This window comes from Homo sapiens, chromosome 21, assembly GCF_000001405.40.
Source record: "Homo sapiens chromosome 21, GRCh38.p14 Primary Assembly".
NCBI classification, from domain to species: domain Eukaryota; kingdom Metazoa; phylum Chordata; class Mammalia; order Primates; family Hominidae; genus Homo; species Homo sapiens.
The window spans coordinates 27,209,888-27,236,958 of NC_000021.9; the positions used below are offsets into that span (position 1 = coordinate 27,209,888).

At 34.8% G+C, this 27,071-nt stretch overlaps 2 long non-coding RNA genes across 2 annotated transcripts in view; one reads left to right on the forward strand and one right to left on the reverse strand.

Annotated features, from left to right (window-relative positions):
* The window catches only part of LOC105372759 (uncharacterized), a 28,328-nt gene extending 5,381 nt beyond the window's left edge, over positions 1–22,947 (forward strand). Inside the window, exon 3 of the long non-coding RNA XR_001755130.2 lies at positions 20,752–22,947. This is a non-coding gene — a long non-coding RNA (uncharacterized LOC105372759). The remainder of the gene's footprint in view (positions 1–20,751) is intronic.
* LOC102724355 (uncharacterized) overlaps positions 1–27,071 on the reverse strand; it is a 177,651-nt gene that overhangs the window by 36,193 nt on the left and 114,387 nt on the right. The window lies entirely within an intron of this gene.

The following is a 27,071-nucleotide window of genomic DNA, read 5'->3' on the forward strand; positions in this document are numbered from 1 at the left end:
GTCAGTGTTTTGGGGATAACATTTAAAAGCAAGATCCATTAATAAAATCACCTTTGATTTTTGAACTGTATGTAGTTCTTTGTTCGTATGAGCAATTCACAGCTACAGTTTAGTAAAAACTTGGCTTGAGGATGTTCACTTCTGAAAAAATTACTTAAAATGTATGAAATGTTATCGCTGTAAGAACAGATGATTGGTTTCTTTAAAATTCCTAACATCAAACTGCCACAGCCAACAGAGGCCTAAGGCTTAAAGAGGCATGGCAAGTTAATGTAATGTGGTTTCCTAGATGGAATTCTACAACAGAAAAAATACATTCGATAAAAACTAAAGGAATCGAAATAAAGCATGGGCTTTAGTTAATAATAATGTTTCAATATTCATTCATTCATTGTAACAAATGTGCCATATTCATGCAAGATGTTAATATAAAAATTGTGTGTAACCATGCACATGAAAACTCTTTGTGCTATCTATGTAATTTTCTGTAAAACTAAAACTGTTCAAAAATAACCATTTTATTTTATTTTTTAAAAAATCTCACAACCTAAATCACTTTGAGATAGTCAGGTAATAAATGCCATTTTTTTTATTTTTAAAAATTATGTAATGGAATTGAGCTCATTACAAAATGCTTTTCTACATTGTAGCTGCCTCTCTTAAGATTAAAGTTTTTGCCTGTGTTTTTTAGACACAAGAAAGGATATCATAAACCCTTTTTACATTAATGATCATCTCCTTTGAGCCTCCTTTTTTTGACACCATTCTCCTCTGCTAATAGGAGTATTATTTTCTGGGGTATCTACCCATGATCTGAACCTTTCCTATTAGAAACTCCAGTGGAGATGATGGTTGCGGAAACGGCACAGTTCAATGAACAAGATTTAAATCCTGTCTTGCTCAGAACTAGTGATGTACTCTTAGTTACATTAATATACCATCTCCATGAGGTTTTATAGTCTTCACCTCTACAATGAGGCCAATAGTAACTACAACCTCATAAACATATTGTGAAGATTAAATCACATAATAGGGTTTAGAAAACTGCGTGGATCATGACAATCACACAATAAAGACTATTACTGTTTCTCCCATGTGGCAGTGTTTAGAACATCCTTGCAGTAATCCCTGCTAATTTTTTACTTTAGCATATTTTTGCTACAGAATTTACCAAGAATTTATACTCTCACATTTGGAAAATTAAATTTTCATTAGCTGTCATAAAATCAGCTCAAACATTGGCAGGTGGGTTACACAAATAATAAAAGTAACAAGAGAAAAGAAATAATATTAAGAAGAAAAAAGAATAAAAGGAAGAAGGAGGAAGTAGGAAAGATGTAATAAGCTTTTAGAGTGATCATCATTTTGCATATAAAAGGGGACTGAATGCTTTACCTACATAAGCCTGTAGAATCTTCCCAACATGCATGTGAGCTAGGCATGATTAATAGACCATTTAAAGTTGAGAATAATATGACTAAAACAGTTTCAATAACCTGTCCAAAGACCAAAGCTAATAGTTCATGGGACCAGAATTCAAACTCTACTATCCTCAACACAGAGCCACGGTCATATTGTTGGGCTCTGTGTCCATACCGAAAACTCATCTCCAATTGTAATCCCCACGTGTCGAGGGAGGGACCTGTTGGGAGGTGATTGGATTTTGGGGGCCATTTTCCCCATGCTGATCTTGTGATAGTGAGGGAGTTCTCATGAGATCTGCTGGTTTAAAAGTGGCAGTTTCCGCTGCCCTCTCTCTCTCTCTCCTGCTTCACCGTGTTAAGACATGCCTCGCTTCCCCCCTTGCCTTCCACCGTGATTGTAAGTTTCCTGAGGCCTCCCTAGCCATGAAGAACTGTGAATCAATTAAACTTTTTCTTTATAAATCTCCCAGTCTCAGGTATGTCTTTATAGCAGTGTGAAAATGGACTAATACACAAGGGCTGCCCTAACACCTTGACTCACTAAATATATCCATCTTAGAGTCTTCTATGTAGGAATACTGTCTTCATTGTAGATACCAGGCCTACAATAATACCATGGATTTTGTTACTCTGCCAGTGGAAGCAGGATCTCCTCCCCACACCTACCTTAAAATGAAATACTCGTGACACTTATACATATCATGGTGGTCTGTAACTGGAGAGATTTTCTTATAGTCAAATGTGTTTTCTAAACAGGTCAAACATTTAAGATACTAATATTGCCTCCCAAATTTTCAGCTCTTCACTGAATTTTAGCCTTGTAGTTCTTTCTCTTTCTGTTTTACATGAAGCAGGTTTGCTCTTTTATTTTCCTTTTTGCTACTGGATTTTTAAACAAAAGTCAGTAAAAGTTAACTGAGAATATTTTAACACTTTTTCTGGGAAGAGGTGCAGTCAGGCATAAGATTGTTAAAACATTTTGTAGCTTTGGCTTCACTCATTAAAATGTGTAGTATGAAGAATAAGCCTAGGGATTTTGTAATGAAATTATTTGATATATTCATGCTGTGTTTCATTATTCATAACAAAAAATATATCATCAGTGTGTCTTGAATTTTCTCTCTGATTCTCCACTTCTTTTTCCTTAAAGGAGAGAGAAGACCTCATTGCACAACCATTTCAGATGTGAATGTAGATATTAGAGTGGTACATCTGTTTCATGCATTAGGGAGCTTCTCTTGGGTCTATAAATAAGATCTCCACCGGTTCCATTAAATCCCAAAGTATGAATGGGCTTTTTTATGTCAAGTATGAACGAAATAGCATTTCCTTGGGTGTGGTAGGGAACACTGATACACTCTTGGAGCTGAACATGCTAGCAGATTTCCTATCTATGCCATTGGCTCTGATTTTTCTCCCTTTGGAACAAGAGTTAGAAGCCAAGAGTTAGATTCTCTTTTCTTCCTGGAAATTCTCTTTATAACAGAATTGAAGTGGTTATTTGCAATTTATATGGAATACAAATGTGCATGTGTGTGTGTAAATATACGTTTTATTGGTAAAACAATCTGTTGGCTAAAAGAGTTTTAATGAGCTGTTGAAGTTGGGGATTAGTGCAAAATTCTTTTTAGGCATAGAAATCATAGAAGATATTTTATTTTTCAAACATTTCTAAATGATTTTTTGGCTAAAAGATTTAAAAGGTCCCTGGAAAATAATTTTCAAAGTAGCATTAAACACATTAGAATGGGTTTGCAAATTCATTTCTCTATATTTCCTTCTCTGAATTTTTCTACATTTTGTTTCTTTATATTTTAATGGAGCTACATGATTTAAAAAGCAGAATTCAAAATATTTTGGTCTTGATTCATATTTTACTAGTTATAATGGTAAAATTTTCATTTTACTCCCTGAATAAATAAATAGTATCCAACTTAAAATATAAACTTGAAGATTATCATTAGGATTTAGATAACATTGTCTGCATTGCGAACATAATAAGCATATTTCTATGAGAAAGTTCAGAACTAATGAGATCCACTAAAGATAAAGTCATATTTACTTTCTCCTCAGCAGATAATGCTTCCTAATGAATCCAAGCTATCTATTTCTTGTTATTGCTAGATTTATGTCTTAGCAATGAGATGCATTGACTCCAGGATTCCAGGTCTCTGAGAAAGCTTTGGAAAGGGGCTTCTTGAGCTTATTGTTACTTCAAGCCACTGAATCTTACTCCCTCTTGTGGGCTCCTAGAGGTGCTAGAAAGAGTTATGCATGGTAGATATAGAAGGTATATAAATGATCATTACATTCCCAAAAGCTTCCTCTATTAAAAAAGAAAACATATTTTTCTTCCACAAAATAGGATATGTGCATTTCACACCCACCCTTCACTATTATTCAACTGATTATAACAAACCAGTATTTTACATAGAAAGTATACTTGGCTTCACTGGTTGGAGGAATTTTTGTATGCTTTGGTCTTTCCAGGTCCTTAGTACAACTGGATCTTCAGAGGATCAAAGAAAAGCTCTCATTTAGTATCATTTCACCTTTGAAAGAACATTCTATTTTTCTTTATGGTAATTCAAATCAAATAATGTTTAATTGATGTGTTATATTTCAATTCCATAGTTATATTATGTAAGGCTACGCAAATGTTGTTTTCACTGAATATTTGTGTTGTATTCTTTCTTATGTAATAGCTAATGTTTTCTTAACAAAATGACAAGTCCATATATAATAATGCCACTAAACACCTAAGGATTAAACAGCACTAGTAGTTAAAATAATGATGAATATTTGGCAGACAATAAGGGAAAAATGAAGCCACATTCTAGAAACAAATATATCTGTTTGTCATGGTGAATGCTATGAGTTTGTATTGAACTTTTCAGTGCCAAAACCAAAAGACAAATCTCTGTTCTTTAATTGAAACTGAGCTGTATTGAAGGCAATGATTAGTTAATGACCGGGTCCCCAGATGCAACTATCAATAGAGTATGAAGCAATTAAGAGAAATATCAGGATTTATAGAAAGTGTCAATATTCCATGAAATGTCACTCAATTGTATATTTCTGGGAGGTCAGACACTTAATTCCTTTCACATATGGTGCATTTTATCTGTGTTGAATTTTTAGTGCACCAGATACAAATGGAGTTAGCTTGCATTAACGTGGCTCCTTAAATATTATTACTCAGCATGACTACATGATAAAAACTAATCTTTCTTTTTACTAAGCATATGGGCTTTTTTCTATGGAAAGCAGCTGTGGCTAATTCAGTCACATCTAAGAGTAACTCCCACCTGTCAAAAGTATTTGAATCCATTTATTCTTCCATAATTAGAACATTCTATTGACTTTTTGCTATCTAAAGCAGGGCATAGTTCCGCTTTTATGAAACCTAAGTTATTAAAATTATAGTTTAATGTGTTATCATTATAATTTTGTATCCACCAAATACAAGGAAAACAATTCGAGAAAAAATAAAATTATTTCATGAAAAGCAGTTACTACTTACTTTATACAAATACAAACGTGTATTATGTTTGTGCAAGCATGTAAGTTTATGTTTGTCAATTAGCATGCAAATGAATTTCTTCAAAAATGATTTAAAAATTATTAAAATCCATAAGCACTGCCTCCATTGAACCATGCAAAATGAGGGGCAGATGTGTATGGCACAAATCTAGGGCCAGACAAGTGGCTTCCATGAGGTACTTTCAGAATTTGGGAAGTTCAATGCAAATAGATTCACTTCCCATGAGCCAGTGCCTCTTACATACATCACTGGTCCAGGGTGGATGGTTGAAAAATTCTTTATCTTTACATCTGAAGACTTGGAGTCCCGTGTCCCAAGGTCAGGGGATAGTAGAAATTCAAATGCAAATATGCATATATAAAATCTATCTTTCTCACTTATACACTTCTCAGGCAGTTATTACCCTTTGGTGAGATTTCCCAGACTGTCCTCTCACAGCTCTGTATCTCTTTCTGCCCATGAGGTTTGGGGTGGGAGTGGAGAAGGAATGAGAAAGTAGAAAACTGATATGGGATTTTAGCAGCACGGTGGGGTAATGAGTGGATGTGTATTAAAATGTCCCTCTATAAGTGAACAAGCTTCAGGTCATTTCTGCCTGACTAATGAGAGCTCAATAGGATCTCCCACAATCTCACCCCCTATTGCTGCCTTGAGACAGTACCTTGTCCTTTGTGTAGGATAATGTGTGGGCAGCTTTACCATAATAGATGTCATTCAAAGGAGGGACAACCAAAAGCTGAATGCTGCCTGCGTTGCAGTCTTGGTTTAGTTTCCTAAACCCTTCACCAGAGGAAAACAATAGTGTAAATGACTAACTTCCGTGACTAGCATAGAAGTATATTTAACAGATATGTGTTGGATGTATAGTTCATTCATATACTAATAACTGACAATAGTTCTCGAAGACCTAGAGTTTATTTATCATTATTGCAAGCCCTGTGGAGAATACAAATGAAATAAAGAACAAGCCAACAAGCCTTGATTATGGCTACAGAGTTTGACTTATACATATTGTGGCCCAGTACATTCATTTCAATCCTGAGTGTGTTTAAAAAAAAAAATCCCATGGCAATCCTACCTTTGCTTTTTTTTTTTTTTTTTGGAAAAAGAACAAACTACAACTAATAAATAGAGGAATGTCATTTCAAAAGAGTTATAATAAACCATTTCCTAATAAGATACATGAGTAATTTATTATTTTCTTTATAAGCAAAAAGAAGTTTAAATAACTGAATTTTAATTTTAAAATAGTGCCTTATAAACTTTAAAATAACTAGTAATTTTCCTCCATTCCTTTACAATATACTACAAGATGTCTAAGTAATTCACATTCATAGACAAGTCACCACTGAAGAAGTGCTATCATATAGCAATTGAGGAGTGTTAGCTATATCTCACCATTAACAATGGGGACAGTCTGATTCTACTTTAATCTACAACACATACTTATTTTTTAAATCTACATCTTTGAAATTTTATGTCAAAACTACATGGATGAACATGTATAGTTTTATACACTATAGGTTGTAGGGTTGACCAAATAATTCACAGCAAGAAAAATTGGTATTATTGAAAATAAGCTATTACTTATAATGTAAAAGCAAAAATTGCTGCAATCAATAAGTAACCACAATCAATTTAAGTTAACACGGAATGCACTGATAGCATATGATGTTTTTAAAATAGAGTAATTCCAACTATTCTTTCTACACAAAGCCTGTATGGCAGTCAGAAGTCTTAGAAGATTATGAAAATACTTAGGAACTCTTTGTAATGTATTAAATTTTGTTATGACTACAAGAATTTAGTAACCTCTAAAAGGTGGTCATAGATAGCTTTTAGTTGTGCATACAACCTATAGCCTATTGACCTGTTAATCATTTAACAATAAGGATTTAGGACATTGGGAGGGCTTCTGACCCCACTACTATTCATGCCCTGAAAACAGCCTTATGGAGGTGGCAGGATAATAATTCATGAGTCAGTGAGTGTAATTTATATGTTGGTATATGTCAGTCACAATACATTGAATTTTTTGTGACATTTTTCAGAGCAGTAACTATAAAAAAGTGAATTCTAAAGAAAACAAAAGAGTTGAAGGAAAACAAGATGTTTTATAGCTGGTGCTGGTGCAGAGCAAAACCCTCTCTGCTTGACGGTTAGCAACTGAAACACAGTTTTGATTGATACTTCTTTGGGCCATCTCTTTTATAAATGATAATGACAAACCATAACATAATTTTTAAAAAGAAAAGAGAGGAAAGGACATTTGGGCTTTCTTTCAGTAGTTAATCATGGGAAAGCTAAGGAAGGAAGCCTTCCTGGGTGGAGGGAATGATGTAGTCCATTGCCCGCTCTCTCTGGGACACCCCTCTCTCTGGGACTAGCTGAGAACAAGTAGGGACTAACTACTTTTGGCAAAACAACTGTCACAAGCCAGAAATGAAACAAAGGTCCCTACTTATAAGGAAACAGAAAGAGATGAGTGACCTAAGGCCTAAACTTCAAAGCAGTATCTTTGGAGTATTTTCTAAGGAAAATCAAGCAAGCTCTGAATAAAATGACTCATTTATTTCCTTCTCCTGTCTTTGGGATTGTCAAACGTCAATATGTTGAAGTTATGCTTACTAAAATGCAAAAATGCTGGTATTTCATTAATTGAGGCAGAATGCTCATACTTGTTCCCCAACTGATGCTATCAAGAGAGAAGGGTCGATGAGCTACACTTTGAGAAGCATTCCTGCCTCTCTCTACCCTCCTTCTTTGGGAGATCACCTCCCTCATACTTCACAGGGAAAACTGAAGAAATCAGCGTAAAGTTGCCTGAACTTCTCACTCTATAAAAATATTCACATTTGCAGCCATCCATTCTTTCTGACTGTCAGATAGGGGCAATGTGGCCTTTGTTCTGTTCCAGACTAATCTTCTCTCCTCTCTCCCACCCACTCTTATTTGCAGAGGGTCAACATGAATCTATACCCTTTCTTTCTCTCTCTCCCATTTGGTGGTTTTCCATCAGCTTTTAAACATCCATATCCTCCACCTCAACGTATCATCCCTTGATTATCCTCTGTTCATCCTTCAATCTCCCTCTATCTCTCTGTTTTCAATTGTACATTTGGAAAACATTTACCTATGCTCATTGCCTCTATTACTTTCCCATTCATCAACTCCTTATCCGCCTTTTCCTGGCTTATGCCAATGTATCCTCTAAAACTCCTCTAACAAGACCTGTTAGCTCCATGTCAGCACTGCTTTGGAAACTTTTTAGATCAAGCTTATTGAATTTCTTAAGTTTACCTCTCCCCTTTTCGTGACATATTGTTTTCTCTTTGTTTTCTTGGCATGTAAACAAACAAACAAACAAAATGGTTGTGCTTCTGTCTCTCTCAGAAGAGGCTTTCAGTTTTTTTGAGTCTCTTAGGCCAGTTGTCTTCCTGTTACACAATTATTCAACATCGAGTATCCTCTTAAACTTTTTTCACTGCTTGTTTTAAACCCTATTTCTATGTGGTCTCATTAATATAGTTATGTATATGCTAACAAGTCCCAAAGGTACATCCATTAGCTTGACTTGTTTTCTTAGTTCTAGACCTAGATGGCTACTTGTCATTCCTTACACATATATCTCACAGATACCTCAAACTTACTAAGTACAAAGTTACACTCATGATCTCTTTATAACTGTTAGTATTTGATATTTTGTTTCTTATTTTATGACCAGAAGATACCAGTTGTTCAGGCCAGAATTCTGAGAGTCATCATTTACTTCTCTATTAATATAATCCCCCCATACAAATAATAAATGCCGTTAACCTACATCATAAATATGTTTTTAATTCACTTATTTGTCTCTTATCTCTACTCACACCCACCATTGCCATCTAGGCCAACTCCATTTATTGACAGGATGAATACAACTATATTTTCATAACTGTCTATCTTACATCAATTATTGTCACCTTTCAACTTATTTTCTCTATCTTTGACCAATGACCTTACAAACGTGAAGTTTGTCATTCTCTGGTTTTAAAAAGAAGTCATGAACTCAAGTGTGCCAAGATCCAGGCCAACACATGAGTGAGTTGAGGACTGTTGAACTTGAGATTTTATGGTATCCTCTCTAAAGGGGCAGACACTACTTAACTTTGGCTGATTGTTCCCCATAGAAATACATGGTCAGTGTTTCCTGGTCATCTATTTTTTTTCAAGAGAAGAGGTACTTATTTGTTCTTTTCTAACAATAACCCACATGTAAGTATTTGTTTAATATATCATTCCCTACTGTGCTCTCAGCACCATGAAAGCTGGGGCCTCAGCTATCTTTTTCACTGCCTGGCACATAACATGCATTCAGAAAATATTTTTTTTCAACAAGTAAATGCATGAGTCAAATCAAGAGAAGAACAGAGGAGAAAGTGAGTCATAATGCCTACAATGGCCAAAATATTGGCTAACATAGCTGAATAATTTTGAAATTTTTTATTTTTTTCAGAGACAAGGTATTGTTCTGTCCCTCAGGCTGGAGTGCAATGTCACAATCATATCTCACTACAACCTCGAACTCCGGGGCTCAAGCAATCCACCCACCTAAGTCTCTGAAATACATGGGGCTACAGGAGTGAGACACCGTGCCCAGCTTTTATAGCCGAATCTCGAAAAGTGAATAGGATTTTCTCAGTTACACATTGTGAGGAAGTATATTTCAGGCTGGAAAAGAACATGTGCAAATATACAGTTGTATGCAATCATATGATCTATTAAGGGAACTCTAAGACATTTGGTGCTGATAAGATACGGTCAAGGGATGGGGTAGCTGCAGATTGAAACAGTGAAGTCCCAGAGAGCTCAAGTGGACAGTTATGCCGTATCTCAGCATTTGAACTCCATCTGACGAGTTAGAGAGCCAAAGATTCACCTTTTAGAAAAATAGTTGTATCAACATTATGAAGAATGAATTCTAGGAGAAAGAGGCCAGAAGAAGGAATGCTGGTTAAGAAACTATTACAGTTACTCATGTAGAAAATGATAAAGGAATTAGTTGAAGAAACAGCATGGAGCTGGTGGAGGTGGATTTGAGAGACAATTAGGAGTAGAATCCAAAAGCTCTACAAGCCGCCCCCTTAGCACAACGGCCACACTAGTTATTTGCTATTCTTAGATAAACATTGCATTTTGTTGCCTCTGTGTGTCTCCTCAAGCTACTCTCTACACCTGAACTGGATTTGTGTTACCCAAGAAGGGTAATAAATATGACTTTATTTGTTCTTTAAGGTTTTGATTCTCAAAGTGTGGTTTCAGAACCAACAGCAATGACCTCACCTGAGAGCTTATTAGAAATGCAGAATCTCAGGTCCCATCCAGACCCTAGTGAATCAGAAACTGCATATTGACAAAATCCTCAGGAGATTCATACCTACACTAGCCCACACTAGAATTTCACAAGCCCTGTTTAAATCTCAGCTTAAACCTCACTTAATCCAAGAAACCCTTTTTGGTTTTCCTGATCTTTCTGATTCATTAAAATAAATAAAGCTGACTAGTATTATGTTTAACAGTTTCTAGGTATCAGTTTCACTTATATCATGGTTATTTATACATGTGCCATTTGCCTTTTACTCCTTCCTAAATTATTAGCTCTAGGAGGCAGGAGCAGATCCCAATCCCATTGGTATTACCCATAGCTCCTATTCAAGACTTGACTTCTGATAGGCTTTCCCCAGAGATAGTGATGGTGACTTCTCTTGCTTCACTTGGCAGGCAAGTTGAGTCTCCAAGTCTTATGATAATGCATCATGCTGATTTCCTGACTTTCTTTGTCCATCCCTTGATAATGATCTCTTGGCTTTAGTAAAGCACTGTCCATGTTTAATTAATTAAATTCCTCTATTTGTATTTGGAAGTGTTAGAGATGCAAAATTTATTCATTTAAAAAACACAAAGGATCTAGACAATCTTACAAGGGACTTCTTAGCAGTAGTCTTCAAAATGTAATATTTTGCTGAATTTTGGTAATATTGGCTTGAAAGAAATCTCTTTCAGAGCTCACCATACTGTCAGCATGACTGAAAGGAATTAATACATTTTTCTATCATAAAAGCACTGAATTTCCTGTGGCCAATGTGATATAACCAGCACCCTTCTGAATTATTTTCCATTTGTTTTATGTTTAAAATTTAGAAGAAAATACAACGTGGTAGACTAGGCTAAATTTAACATATAATCCTGTGAAAGTTTTCCTTTTTTGGATGGCATATTGAGTTAAGGTTTTTTAAAAAGTGAGTCCCTCAAAACATCATTCTCTCTTAAGCAGCAGCGTGTACTTTGAATGGTTTGGAACTAAGTGTTTTAGATTAAAAAAAAAAGTCTTTCTTAAATAACATGCAGCTAACAGCTGGAAAAAGGGTAGTGAAGCGGTAAACTGTCCATTATGTTTAAAGAACAACTTGGCTAAAATCCTTCCTTCTCATTAAAATCACTGAGTGTGCCTTCAGAATTTATGTAACTGTACTTAGGGTTTCTGTTAAACCCATTTATTATTTTTTTTTTCATTTCTAATCTAGACTAAATAATTAATCCATGTCAATTTAGAATTCCTTACTACTTTTTAAAAGTGTATGTTAGCCTATTTTTAGTTTCCATGAGAATTAGTAATAATGAATTTTCAGAAAGTAAAAATAATGAGGCTTTCTGGAAGAAACCACTGGATGTTTTACAAGTTAGCAAGGTGTGCTTTCAGTTTAAAATCATTCCACTGTGTTTCTTGTGAGGTTTCTAAAAAATCAGATAGAACTTTAAATGACATTCAGAGTTGAGGAAAGAGGTGAGGAGAAAAGGAAGCAGCACCCATTATTATGGATTTGAGTAATTCATCGAGTGATTCAGATGTAGTAGTTCTATTACCATTTTCTTTGACATGGTCCAAAAGCAAAGGTCAAGGTCGCTACACTTGTGTCCTTTACCCAATGCCACAGTCAGTTTAGAAAACTGTGCTTTAACTTACAATGATAACATCAGAGTGGGCTTTAAATTCAGATCCACCTATAGGTTTAAGACTCATTAGATTTATCCTTGTCCGGCCGGGTGCTGTGGCTCACACCTGTAATCCCAGCACTCCAGAGGGCCAAGGCGGGTGAATCACTTGAGGTCAGGGGTTCGAGAGCAACCTGACCAATATGGTGAAAATCTGTCTCTACTAAAAATACAAAAATATTAGCCGGGCGTGGTGGTGCACACCTGTAATCCCAGCTACTTGGGAGGCTGAGGCAGGAGAATTGCTTGAACTCAGGAGGCGAAGGTTGCAGTAAGCCAAGATTACACCATTGCACTCCAGTCTGGGCGAAAACAGCAAAACTCCTCAAAAAAAAAAAAAAAGGGAAAAAAAAAAAACACCGTTTCTCAATCTTCTGTCTCCTTTATAGTTGCTCTTTGAAGATAATGGATATTTTTTCTATGCCTTCTATTTTCTATATATCTTCTTGCCCCATTCCACTCTCTGCCTCCTTAGTTTTCTCTTTTTCTTTTTCTTTTTTCTTTTTTTTTTTTTTTTTTTTTTTTGCAGTGGCTTAATCTTGGCTCACTGCAGTCTCTGCCTTCGGGGCTCAAGTGCGTCTCCTGCTTCAGCCTCCTGAGTACCTGGGATTACAGGCCCCTGCCACCATGCCTGGCTAATTTTTGTAGTTTTAGTAGAGACGGGGTTTCACCATGTTGTCCAGACTGGTCTCGAACTCCTGACCTCAGGTGATCCACCTACCTCGGCCTCCTAAAATGCTGGGATTACAGGCATGAACCACCGCACCCAGCCCTTTGTTTACTTTTATCCATTTGTTTTATGTTTAAAATTTTATGAGAAAACAGCATTGTAGAATAGACACTTTTTTTTTCTTTTTCTTGCTTTAGGTTTTCTGAATTTCTGGCATCTGGAACTTAGGAAACTATCAGCCATTATTTATTTGAATATTCCTTCTGCCACATTTTCTGTCTCTTCTAACCATGACACTCCAATTAAATGTATGTTGAAAGTTTCATGCATATTCTCACTTTTTTTTAATGATCTGTGCTGTTTCATTTATTCCTCTTTTTTTGGCATATGTTTCTGTTTAGGAATTTTTGTCCTAACATGTCATTTAGTTCAAAACTAATGTATATAGTCTTATGTTAAAGCCATCATTGTATCAATCTTAGATATTATATTTTTAGTTTTAGAATGCCCATTTGAATCTTTTTTATTAAATCCAAATTTTGGTCAAAATTATCCATCCTTTCATCTATTCTTTCCATTCTTTTTTTAATTTTCTAGCTTGTATTATTTCTATAGTTATCAGCCCTGTTATTTTCACAGTCATTAAGTAAAGTCCACATTTTATTATTCCAATAACTGGCTCTTCTATTTCCATTGTCTGTACTATTTTTGATCATGTTTCCATTTATCATATTGACTTATAATTTTAATATAATGCACAATATGGTGTATAAAAATCATATAGTCTTTGGATGATGTTATCTTCTTCCACAAAAGGTTGACCCTGAATTCAAGCAGGCAGCTTAAGGGGGAGCAAGTCTCCCTAATCCAATTAAGGACTGAGCTGAGTCCAGACATTTTTTTGCAGTTTGGTGAAGCTCATTCAATTACTCTTTCAATTTGATCTAAAGAGTTAGATCTCCAAGAACCACAACTGAGATCCTGAAATGTTTATTAAAACTCTATTTTTATGATCAGATCTGAACACCAATTTTAGCTTCTTAGTACTTTAAGATTACTAAATATTCATTCTATGCTTTTGTGGCATTTGACTTGGCTGCTTAATTTCTTATTTTGTAGAACTTAACAATTTGGCAAATGCCTCAGAATGACAGGCCTTCAATCCATTTCTCTCTATTTTTTTTTTTTTCTATATCGTCTAGGCACATCAATTTCTGACTATCTTGGTGGTTCTAAACTCTAAAGTTCTGGTTTCTTAAGCTTATCTCTTGCTTGATTTCTTTATAATTCTCATTCCGGAGGAGAGTGGAGCAACTACCACAAAAGCCCTTAAGAAAGAAACAGATTACAGATGTACTCAAATCAAATTGGCTTACTTGCTTATATTTTTGTTTTTCATGGATGTTGGCCCCTTAAGTCCTAGTTGCCTCAGCAATTCTCTAGAGCATTTACATATGAATATGTGTATAATTTATAAAGAATTGTGGTAGTTTTACATGCTGTAAGCTACCCCATCCTGGTCAAAACCATGGGGGTATAAATAGGTATGAAAATATATAGGTGATTCCATGCATTGTTTTTAAATAAGCACAGATGTAACAAGGTAGAGAATTAAGAAAATAAATACAAATATATTACTGTATACTTAGTTGAAGATGATACAATATTTATTTTTATATGTTAGGAAAAGTCAAAGAAAGAGAATGGAAGTTCATTTGACTTTTGTTAAGCACAAAAATTATGCAAGATTGACACAGTAAAATAAAATTTGAACCTTAATGTATTCCTAGGATATACTGCTGGAAGATTTATGATAGGATGACTCAACATTTCTACATACCTTCTTCAAAGGCATTACTGTTTATCAACAATTTTTAGCTTGGAATAATTACTACTAAATTCCAAAAATCTAATAGTAGGTAAAATCTGACACTAAACTTACAGTTTATAGTAGAATTTGCTCTAATAAAAATATTATTCTTAACAGTTTTATTTCTGTAAATGTAGATGTTCTTTTAATAATGAAAAGTAGTATATTATAAAGTGAACTAAAATAACATAAACAAGTAATCAAATGCATGCAGTTGAAATGATTCAAATCTTCACAATGGATAAAGTGCTCAGTGTTTCATTTGGAAATTTTGGGGTCAGGTTTAATAGTACTGCATAGGGAAAAAAGAGCTCAAGCCTTATTTATTTTAAGGACTTCTGAAATTGACTTTGAAAAACACTTACATTGAAATTCACACGAAAAGGAGTATGTAGTAGTTTAATTACACTATTGCATGGCTTTAGAAATTATATAGTAATTTTCCGTTTTAAACAGCTTTAAAGAATAAATTCGCTAAGCTACAAAATATTGGAATCACGTTAGTTAACAAAGGACATGTATGTTTATGGAATACTAAATTAATATAAAAAAAAGAATTGACCTTACCTTTGTAAATTAAATTAGGAAAAATTAAAGTTTGAGTTATATACATTTTGATATGCTGTAGCCATTTCAGATGTATAAGTTATTACTTGTTAATTTATTTTTTCAGTTTCATTAATCACTTTTACACAAACTATATGCAATAAAATGTTAAAATTACTTGATTTTTTTTAAATTTTAGACTCTGTAAGTTATCAGAGTTTAAAACCACTTAGCTACATTTTGATGTATTTATTGATATCTGGCTTAACTTTTGTTGCTGTTTTGATTTTAATATATTAAATGAAGCAACTTGCTTTCCCATGTTTTGCTTTGAGTTTATAAGGCTCATAGCTATGATGTGAGTAATTCAACAATTTTTGGCCTTACACATTCTTTTTACTGAAATGTCTTTCTTTAAGTCTCCAACCAGAGGGAAAATTAGGTAATTAAAGAATTTTTTCTTTTGTTTATAGTAGAGGAATGTGTGGACAAAATAAATATTATTTCTCTTGTATCTTTTTCTTTGCTTTTTTAAATACAAATGTTTCATTCTTTGTAATATCCATTTCAGTGAAAATGGTTAGTCCTCACATTGTGATAATATTTTGTTTTGTTTGTAATCATTCTTTAGTTCTGGGGAAAATTCTAATTTCTGATGGAATGTTACTTATGGAATTGATTTTACAGTAGAATACATACCTTTTAAAGGTTTCCCCTGCCTTAATCACAAAGAAAGGAAACTTTACTTCTGATACTTATGCTAAAACTAAGAGTCATAAAAATAAGATGACTTGATCAATTTTAAGAGTAAATGAGTGGTAGAAACAGAAGGAGGAGGGAGATAAAACATAGAACAAGCTTCATGCTAGTGCCTTAGAAATATTAGCTAGTTAAATCCCCTGATATTCCTGTAAGATAGATTCTTCCCATCTTACAGGTGAAAAAACTGGATCTCAAATCCAAGTGGGATGACGATGACAAATGTGCATTATTCCACAGATGTGAAATGTATAAAGATTTTCTTTTTAGTCTTACTTTTTATTATGGAAAATTTTATGTGTAAAGAAGCTTAAGAACCCATGGGAATACAGACAATAAATGTCAGTGCTGATAATTAATTGCTTGCATTGGCTCTACCCATCCTGATGTTACTCTAATTATCAGGATCCAGATTAGCACTGTCACTGTCGTGTATTAGACAAGGAGAGTTTTCTACATTAATGTCTGAAGGAAGCTTCATCTGTTCATAAGGTCCTGTATTCCTTTAACCTTCAAAGACAAAAATTCAGTCTCATTTTCTGCTTTGCTCTGGAGATCCAATCTTTCAATAGGTCCTTCTCCCCAGGTGTCTGTGGAAATCCCAGGAAGGACTTCCATTTGCCACACAACCCTCTGCTCTCTTGCCCAGCTGTTTGCCTCCAAACAGCTCTCCCTCTCTACTCCCGTTCATTACTTTTGGTCTGGAGACCAGCATTCTTAGACTATCTCTGCTCCTTCTTCTATAACTATTTTATCCAAGCTACGGATGCAAGCCTTTGATGTCTCACAATGAATGCAAGGCCAGGCCATAAAATTAAATAAAACTTTATTGCAACAGAGATAATTTAAAATCAATTGCTGAGCATGTTGCTTTTTGAGTTCAGAATCCCTGTAGGAATACACAACCCCCCTCCAGCTGGAGCTAACTTCTGCATTTTTAGAAAGATTGCCAAGTAAAACACAGAATGCCCATTTCCATTTGAATTTTATAGAAACACAGAATAGTTTTATAGTATAAAATGTATCAAACTATCAGGATATATTTATAATAAAACCGGAACATACTTATACCAAAACACTAGGATATACACTAAACAAGAAATTTAAAAATGTGATGCTTATCTAAAATTCAAATTGCACTGGGCAGCCTGTATTTTTATTTGCTGAATGTGGCAACTCTAGTTTCCCTAACCATAGGAGAGCACTGGACTAAGTCTTCCCCTTCCAGGGTCTAGGCCTCTAATTTCTCCAATCTTTTATCTTTAGATCTATTACTTACAGCATCAATGTAGTTTTATTTTTTGTTTTTGTTTTATGTTTTGTTTTGTTTTTGTAAGCATATGTAAAATACATAACGTTTTTGGGGGGTAAACTAGCATCAAAAGAGCTAGATTCTGACTCTTGCTCTATTTGCAAGTCTTTGGACATGAGGATGATCAAGGAACGCTTCTCAACTTCCTTTTATCCCTATTAGAATTCAGCTCAAACAGTAAGTCCTGCCTTGCATGGTGGCTGTGATAATTAGGTAAGAAATCAAGGGAGAAGGCATTCAGAAAGCATAAATTCTGACCCAACTATAGAGAAATACGTACAGCTTACATTGTCTTTTAGGTTATGTTTTACGTTGTGTTGTTTCATGGGAATGTCATGGGGGAGAATCTATAAACCGCAGCCAGATGGTAGAAGAGCATCCATCAAGGAGGGTAGACAACTTAGTCTTTGGTCTCCATTCTCTCTGGATGTCTTTCTGTGTCTACCTGTCAGCCTGGACCATGACATCTCTTCTAAATGGAATCTCAAATACTTCTGATTGGGGTTCCAAGCCATCTGCCCTCCTATGTTTCTGTCCAACACTGTTAACCTAATGTTTAATTATGTCTTCAGGCCCCTAGTCCTTAATCTTGGTATTTGGCATCACCTGATCTTAATTCCCAATCATTTTCGTGGTGGTTTTGTTTGTTTCTATTTCTGGATGCATGTGTGTGCTTGCTTTTCCTCTAGACTGTTTTCATATCATTTGAAATCTAATGTCCGCCCTCACTCCCCCCATTCTCAGTGGTATTAAAAGAAGTACTGTGTCTCTTCTCTCCGATGTTTAAAAAGATCTTTCCAAATCATTTCACCAAATTTTGCTTTCTCTAAAGATTTTGAATGTTTATTATCCTTCTGAAATGTTGGCATATTCCTGAAGCTAACTGATACCAAATGTTATGTAAAATCTGTGAAGTTGCTCTTAGAAGGTGGTATTTATAAACTATATGTAAATGTGGAGTTTCAGCTCAGAGAGGGCTCAGTATACCTCTTTCCAATTCCATGGTTCCCATGTGATGTGCTTTTGGATTTCAAGACAGTACTCCAAAGCTAACCATTCATTTGGGCCTAGAAATGTGTTTTCTGATAGTGTGGATGTTGTCAAAACAACTTGAGTAAAGCATTTGATTGAGTGCTGCTATGAGGACACCCCCAAGAAATTTAGCATTTATGTGATATTCCCCTTTTTCTTAGGAGAATAATATCTTCCAAGACTTTTAATTCCCACTTCTACCTTCCAACGTAGTTATCAGGTGATAAAGGTATTTTTTGTTTATAGCATTGAGTGCTAACAAGATTCTTCAAATAATTTAATTGAATGCCTTAAAATCTATGGATCTAATTTCTGTTTGTTGTTGTTGAATATGGATAAGCTTTCAAAGTGGAGCTAATTTTTTAGAAAAATAGTTCAAGTACTGAAGTATTGTGAGAAATGTTATTTCTTTGGCTGGACTGCCTCCCTGTTGCTGAATGGTTGGCGTACACGTCATGCTATCAAATCCTATCATTCTCCCATGCTAAAAAAAAAAAAGTCAGACATCCAATAAAATAATTTGGCAAACCCGGCTTATGTATTCTGTGAAAATAAAATCAGTTTCTACAATCAATTATTTGAAAGGTCGCTTAAAAAAATTCTGTTTCCATTAATATTTTAAACTATTTCCTTTTAGTTGGGGGAAGAAAGGAGCAATGCCATTCTTTGTAGACTTAAGTAAATAAATGACATTTCAGTGTATAAGATTTAGAGTCATTCCTACCCAATTTAGTTTTCTTCTGTAAAGTTTATATGGCAATAAAATTTTCTCTATTTTTCTCATTCCATTTTTTTAAGTGGAATACAGTATTTTAAAAATTGAATAAATACATACAGAATTTCATATCAATATTTGTTGGCATAATTAGAAAAAGGAGAAAAAATTTGCCAAATAAAATATAGGTTGCCTAGTTAAATTTAAATTTTATATAAACAATACTTTTAAAAAATTATATCCCATGTAATATTTAGAACATAACTTACACTGAAAAATATCATTGTTTATCTGAAGTTCAAATTTCATTGGATATCCTGTATTTGCTAAATCTGTTAACAGTAGAAAGAAGATAAAGCAGATGGTGAAGTTAAAAAAAATTGAGGTATTATCAATGAAGTTTTGGACAGTACACTTGTAATTTAGACTAGAACTCTAATTTCATTAGCTGCAAAGTAAGGAAGAAGATACTTAATTCCTGCGTCTTCACAGAAGTTACTACATTCCATGGACAGGGCCAAGATTCTGCTTGAATTTTATAGATAAAAGAGATGCAGAGAGATTCAGAAACTTGCCTAAGCTAGCAAGTGGTACAGTTAAGATTACTCTTTCTGACTATAGTCAGTCTGTCTCCAAAGACGACTACACCCCACCTCTCTAAATGTTTCATCCCCAAGGAAAGGATTGGAAATACCAGACAGTTGTTCACTGGCAAAGTTCTTCATCTGACAAGTAATCATGATATCCCAATCTTGCAATGTTACTGTAAAGGATTGCTGAAAGATATGAATATATATCAAAACATAAATGAGAGTCACTTGACATTAACATTTGTTTTCTTTGTTAAGCATGTAAGTTTCTCTGAATCACTGGGATCATGACAGGATTCAGAAAGCAGGACGTGGTATTAAGAAAATGAGAGGACAAGGAGATAATTTTGAATCTTTTATGGAGAAAGGCATTGAATAATGTTAAAATAAAAGAAACAAGGAGAGAAATGCATCCTCGTATTAGTGTATGATCCATAGCCAAGCAAAACAAAATTTCAGGTATTTCATGAAAAGCTGTAGGGCTAGAGATCTTAAAATATTTTCAATGAGAGAGAAAGAGAATTTATGTTAATAGGTCTAATGTTACTAATTTTAGGTGTGCATATGAATATTAGTATTGATGTTACTTATATTTACTGTTGTGTTGTAAATTTGTTATTTATTATGGCTCTCAAAGTTTTATCCCTAATTTTGTTTCCTAAGTCTTTTTTAGTCTCCTATAATAATAGTAGTAGTAGCTGTCATTACATGAGAGATTCTGTACAAGCACTTGACTTGCTAGCTCTTGGAAACTTAAAAACGTCTTTATTAGGAGTATATTTGTGTGTGTGTTTAGTTTCCCTGTTTTAGTTATGGGTAAACTAAAGGCCAGTGAGTTTAGAAAAGCACTCAAGGTCACACAGCTAGTAAGAGAGTAGCCAAGTTGGAACCCAACAGCCCCCACTTTCCTTCTATGTTGTACTATTCTGCTTCTAGTCATGTCTTAACTCCATTAATTATTATGATTGATGAATACCTGGGTTAAATTGTCAAATCAATGCTGAAAAATCTCAACTCTCACTCCTAGATTTAAAAGCAATTTTTTTTCGGTGCAATTTGAAACCCTTAGAGACTTTCTGGTTTTAGGGTTTTGTAGGTTTCTGTCTTACTTTTCTGAGTAATTATTTTAATGGCCTTTCTGATTTTAATTTTAATTTAATTTAACTTAATTTCACCATGTTGCCTAAGGGGAACACTACTTCTGACTTGAAATTTTCTGGAAGTCCTGATACAACTTTGACTCTTGTCATTTTAAAGGAAAAAAATGGCAGCATACTGAAACGGTAAATGGAAAGGCCATGTTTTTTGAGTGACACCATTAGAGTAAAAACTAGCCAGAGGCATCTGGTGGACAAGCATCTGAGCCACACAGGAGGGAAGTCCTGTCCATGAGATGCATTCACGTGAGTCCTGGATTCAACTGCTTAGCTTGGCTCCACCATGGGTTCTTCTCAAAAACCAACCTTACAAAGTTGTTGTAAAGGCTAACAAACATATTTATTTATAGAACAATATAAATGATAGGTACTTGATAAATGGTGGTTATTTTATTAGTATGCTTAAGTAATGGAGCTTAATCCATTCAATCAATTTCTCTATTTTTCACAGAGATAAGGAAATGAGCTTTTTGACAGCTTTTCCCTGCTATTAGATTAGTTGACAAGATGGTGTTAATACACCCATTCAACCACCGTGGCAGACACTGTAGTTCCCGGACAGTGAAATTTTTGTTGCACCAAATACGATTATTGTGGTTTTTGTTTACAATGCTATACATGTTTGTTGTTTATTTTATTTAACTTTAGTAGAAATGAGTTGCTTTATTTAAAAAAAATGACTGCTAATTTGATCACTGAAATAAAATTAAATGGCAGTTCAAGATGCAGACTTCTAACCAAGCTCTAGTATTAAACAATGCTGCTACTTTCCAATTCTCACTACTCATCAGATGTGTTGTATATATCCAAGATTGCGGAATTTGGGAAAAAATATTTTTTCATTTAAGATGTCAAGTGTATTTTTTGAGTAGATCATCGTGAACATTGAGAAGTTTTGGATCATTTGCCCATATATGTTAACTGAATAAATGTACTGGAAAAATCTCTCTCAGCATTTTAAACTATTGACTTGTTTGTTAATGCAAATTTAGAATATATCATGAGACATTCTATCCCAAGATCTGTTGAATTTTGTTGTATTATAGACCAGGGAATAAACAAAAAATCTACAAATCCAAAAAATAAGAGCATAGATGAGTATTTTCATAATATTTTTGAAAATCTCTGAGAAAGATGATTTATAAGAAAACATAATACTGGGTCATTTTGTCTCCCATCTTTATACAACTTGGTGAGTTGAGTGTCTGTTGAGTTTTGCTGTATAATAGACCAGGAAATAACCCAACAGTTCACTATAAAAGCTTAGATGGATATTTTCATAATATTTATGAAAATCTCTGAGAAAGATGAAAAGAAAACACAAAACTGGGTCATTTTGCCTCTTGTCTTCATACGACTTTGTAGGTGGTCATTAAAAATAATTCCATCCTAGTCCATATGAATGCTGTAATTTTGTTAAATATTACTAGAAATAATAGAGTTTAAAATATAATACTTGTTAAATATTACTAGAAATAATAGAGTTTAAAATGTCATACTTAACATTCTAAAAAGAGAAAATTATTAGGTTGGTGGAAAAGTAATTGTGGTTTTTGCCATTACTTTTGCACAACCTAATAAGTTAGATTATCATTATTATGGAACATTATCTTATATTATTTCCTTCAAAAAGGTGTAGCTTTTCAAACGCCATTAGACATTAAACCCTTTTAACACATGAGTTGTTTGTATTTTGCTTTTCTAACAAGACATCTAGAATATGCTACGTTTTCTACTTTAGCATTGTTTCAACTTTGAATAATTACTTTCTGATAGATTGAATGTAGGTTTATTGAGAGGAATTATCATTTTAAATTGTTTTGGATATTTTTTCCTTTACTACTCAGCAAATCAAAAACTATTGTCAATGCTCTAATTATGATTTATAGAGATTAATTCCCACTACCAAAGTGTTGATCATGATTTTTTTTTTTTTACAGGTACTAAAGCAGGTGTTTTACCTAACATCTCTGTGTTGCCAGGTTTTGCAGCCACTGAAGTTATTGATCACTTTTCAAAAATGTCTCACTTTGCATATCGACTACCCTCCGTTGCTCCCTGCTAGTTTTTAAATCTGCACTTTGGGGCACTAGAAGTGACTGAAATATCAGTTAAGTCCTATTTGACAAATACGTATTTAGAGTAACCAATTCAATAGGGCCATAAAGAAACTACGGGGTTAGTGCTAGTTAATATTGAGACATCAGTTTTGGGAATTTTGCTGTTTATTGGTGGAAGCTACAACGAGATTTTGTGTAGTTTCTATTAAAACAATAAAATATTATCTGATTCATAATTCAGTTCAAAATACGCTTTAATGTTTTGCTAGATGTGTTGGACACTCAGCTTCTATTTCCATGGGCTGAATAATTGATGTTTACATTTCCCAGACATCCATACAGTTAGGGTTCTAAAAGTAAGTTACATCTTCCACTTGGATTTGGAACATTTCCTCATTCCAGGTTCCAGACCGCTATATCAACAGACTCGTAGAATGTTACTGAACACACTGAACACACTGTTTGGTGGTGAACAGATGGTGGCTAAGAAGTTGCTCATGGTTCCTGGGAGTCCTAACCAGGGCCTGATACGGCAAACCTTTCAATGATTTGTAAACTCCTAGTGTATCTTATCTCCTTAAAACACATAAACACGTAAAACTGTGTCTCCTTAAAACACAGCATGGTTTTGTTTTCACCACTGAGCCCAAAGTAATTAAAACGAACTGCTATCACATTCATTTGTGTGTGTGTGTGTGTGTGTGTGTGTGTGTCTGTGATTTGCAAAATGATATAAATAGGTAGATAACATTGTTAAATAGATAAAGCCTTAGAAGACGAGAGGATACAAATTAATATTTATTATACCTGTGTTCACTACAACAATCCAGTTTGTGTTTTGCACTGTAAATCCCAAAATGTGTTATATTATTTTTGTCAACTAGCGTTGCCAACACAAAGCCAATATAAGTTGATTTTACAAGAGTATACATATAATATTTAACAGCTGGGTTTGAAAATAATTCAGGTTTTAAAGTTGGAAGTATCTTCGCTTTTAGTAGGTAAAGAAATAAAAATCTGAGAGGAAGGATTAGGTGATGTAATTTCTTCTGTTTGATACTTAAATTCCATAAGAGTCTATATTTGAGAAATATAAAAATATTGCTGAGTAGCACTTTTCTGGGACTTTGAGAAGTGTGGGAGACAGAATGCACTTTACGAACATTTTTTATGCCTTGTAAAAATAGCACTACATATATATGTGTTTAACTCTACATAGCAATGAACTTACTTTCTCTCTGCTTTTTATATTCCTTTATGGTTTACTACCTTAGGCATTAAATCAAGAATTTAATATGTTGAGGGGAAAGGGTTGCATATCAAAAGTTTCTTTCTTCAAGCAAATATGTGGTGGATTCCCACATGTCTACTGAAATAAAACTAGGGAATAATATGTATGTGTATTACAATATTCTTTTCAAGACTTTGGCAGGAGAATTATTTAAGTATGTCATTCTATCTTGAAAGCCAACTATGGGTTTATGAGGGGGAGGGGAATACATCTATACATTAATTCTTGCAAGGTTAAGAAGTTTTGGGTTTGAGTCTCGTAGCACTAATTAAAATTTTGTGGTTTTCAACAAGTGATGCATTACATTTGATTTATTCTGCATTGAAGAAGAAAGAATATCATCTCTCATCTCATCTAATGTTTATCAATCGGGTTAGCCATTCTAACATAGATTTGATGTTTTTAAGCATCTTAATGCATAGTTAATTGCAATTGGCAAATAACCTATAAATGCATTGTGCAATGGGCCTGCTGGTATGGGATGAGGTCAGCGTAATGCATGGCGAGAGGCAGCTTAGCTTTGTGGCTAAACACAGGTGTTCTGCATATCTGGGCTCCAATATCTGGGTTCAACTCCTAACTCCATCGAATACTAACCCTTTGATTTTGGGCATGTCACACAATTTCAGCTTCAATTATTTTCTGTAAAATGAGTATTATAATTGTATCTACTTTATTCAGTTAATGTGAGGATCGAATGGGTGATTCAAGATGTTGATGCATATTCTCTAAAAAGAGGAATTCTCCACTCTTAATTGATATCAAAGGTACGAAAAAATAAATAATTCTGCCAGTGCATAACCTCATCTAAATGATAGCTGCCTGAAAAATACCAGATAGAATCCTAAAATATAAATTTAGGATTATATTTTAAATAATGTATACAGTATCTCTTTAAAATGCTGCTTCTGCTCGGGGGTAACTTTCCAGATGCTGATAGGCAAGGGGTCTGGCTGTGGGGCACAGGCACTTCAGCCTCCTCCCACAGCCTCTGAATGATGAGGCGCAGACACACCCAGCAGCATGCAAATGCCTTGCCATCTCTATAATCCTGCCCTCCATGTGGGGCATCTTATTCTGTTCTGGTTGTCATAGTAAAATGCCACAAGGTGGGTAGCCTACTAATGACAGGACTTTATTTCTCACCATCGTGAAGCCTGGGAAGTCCAAGGTCCAGGCACAAGCAGATTCAGTGTCCAGTGAGAGGGACTTTCTGATTTATAAATGGTGCCTTCTTGCTGTGTCCTCACAAGAATGAAGAGAAAAGTAGCATTCTTGCACCTCTTTTAAGGGCACTAATCTCATTGCAAATCACCTAATCACCTCCCAAAGACCCCACTCCTAATATGGTCACCTTCCAAAGACCCCACTCCTAACACTGTCACCTTCCAAAGACCCCACTCCTAATATCATCACATTGGGGAATAGATTTGAACATTCGGATTTTCGAAGGAACACAAATATTTAGACCATAGCATGAGATGCCCATGTTAGATTTGTAGCCAGACTAAGGCAGCAGGGATGCTGGAAAAGGGATTTCAGTGGAATCTAGGAGCAAGGTCGGGCAGCCAGCAGTCTTGAATCACCACCCCGCCACATCCCTGTGGCCTTCCACTTCTACAAAGGAGGGCTCTAACCTGGGATTCAGCCAACAGGCTTGGAATCTCTCCCTCTGACCTCATATTTTGAGTTAAAGGAGGTCTTCAATGTGAATGCAGCCCTGTAGATGGGGCAGTCTTGTGCAGAAGATAATCCGAATACTGTTATGTGATATGTCTGACCAGAGCCTCATTATTTACTCAGAAAAATGGTTATGCTATTTGATACGGAAGAAGTGATTGATAGTGTAGTTGCTTTCGGTAAATAGGAAGGCTGCAGGTTGATGATTTCTTAGATACCCATGAGACTGGGTTCACTTCTATAGACATAGGACACACCATTTTATTGTCTAAAGAGCAAAGAAGTCCTATTATATTGCTGATTTGGCTCATCCTGATTCAGAGCCTAGATGAGGCTGTACCTCCTTGAACTATGTTCATATTTCAGGCATCTGGGTAGATCTTAGTGAAAAGGCAGTGGCACATTTTCTTCTCTGATGACAACCTCCCCTCTTTTCAGCTCTTCCACCCCACTACTCTTGGTGAACCTACTTTTACGTGCATCAAAATCTTTAGTCGTCCAACCACTCCTCCTCTCCAATTCATTCTATTTGGCCTCCTGATGCAAAACCACTGTATTAATAAAGTTGCTCTAAGCCCTTTAAACTAATTTCATGACTTATTCTTCTACTATAACTTTCTTAGGTGTTCTTCTTGCCTCTTGCACTTAAGAAGCAGAAAATCATTAAAGACTGTGGTAAAAGTACTGACGTGCTTAAATAAAACAGTTCCAGCCCACCTGGTTTATTACTGTTCAGAGTCAAGTAAACTTCTCATTGTTGAGGGACTATCTTCAGCAAAAATTTCAAGTTTTTTCTGCCCTAAGCAATCCTTCTATAGCATCTGGGTCTGCTCAGCAACTTACAACTTTCTACAAATAAGATTAACAACAACAGAGGACTCCTTTCACCTCACTTGAGAATTTATCTGTATCTTCTTTGTGTCTCAGGGAAAGTAATGTCTCTTCTCTTCTCTTTACTTATCCTCCTAACTTGCCCTCTCCTACCTGCACCAGTCATTCTGATCTTCCACACTTCTTCACTTTCTTCTCTTGATAAAGTTCATGCCCAGAGATTCTGTTCTACCTGATTTTCAGTAAGTCCATTTGATTTGACTATTCCTTTTTCCTGGGTTTTACTCTTACCTTATACATTATCAATTTTCCTTTCCAAATCATTTTGCTCTTTCTTCAAGATATGTGTACAATGATACTGCCCTATCTTCCTTGAAAATAAAACAGTATTTCCAGCCATTATTGAAAATACAACTTCCCAGACCAGTTCCTGAAGGTGCAGATGACAATGGGTCTAGAATGAGGCCTAAAAATATGTATTTCTAACAAGCTCCCCCCAGATGCTTCTATCAGTCTTTTTCCTCCTTCTTACTACAGTTTGGACCTGCTATTTTCTTG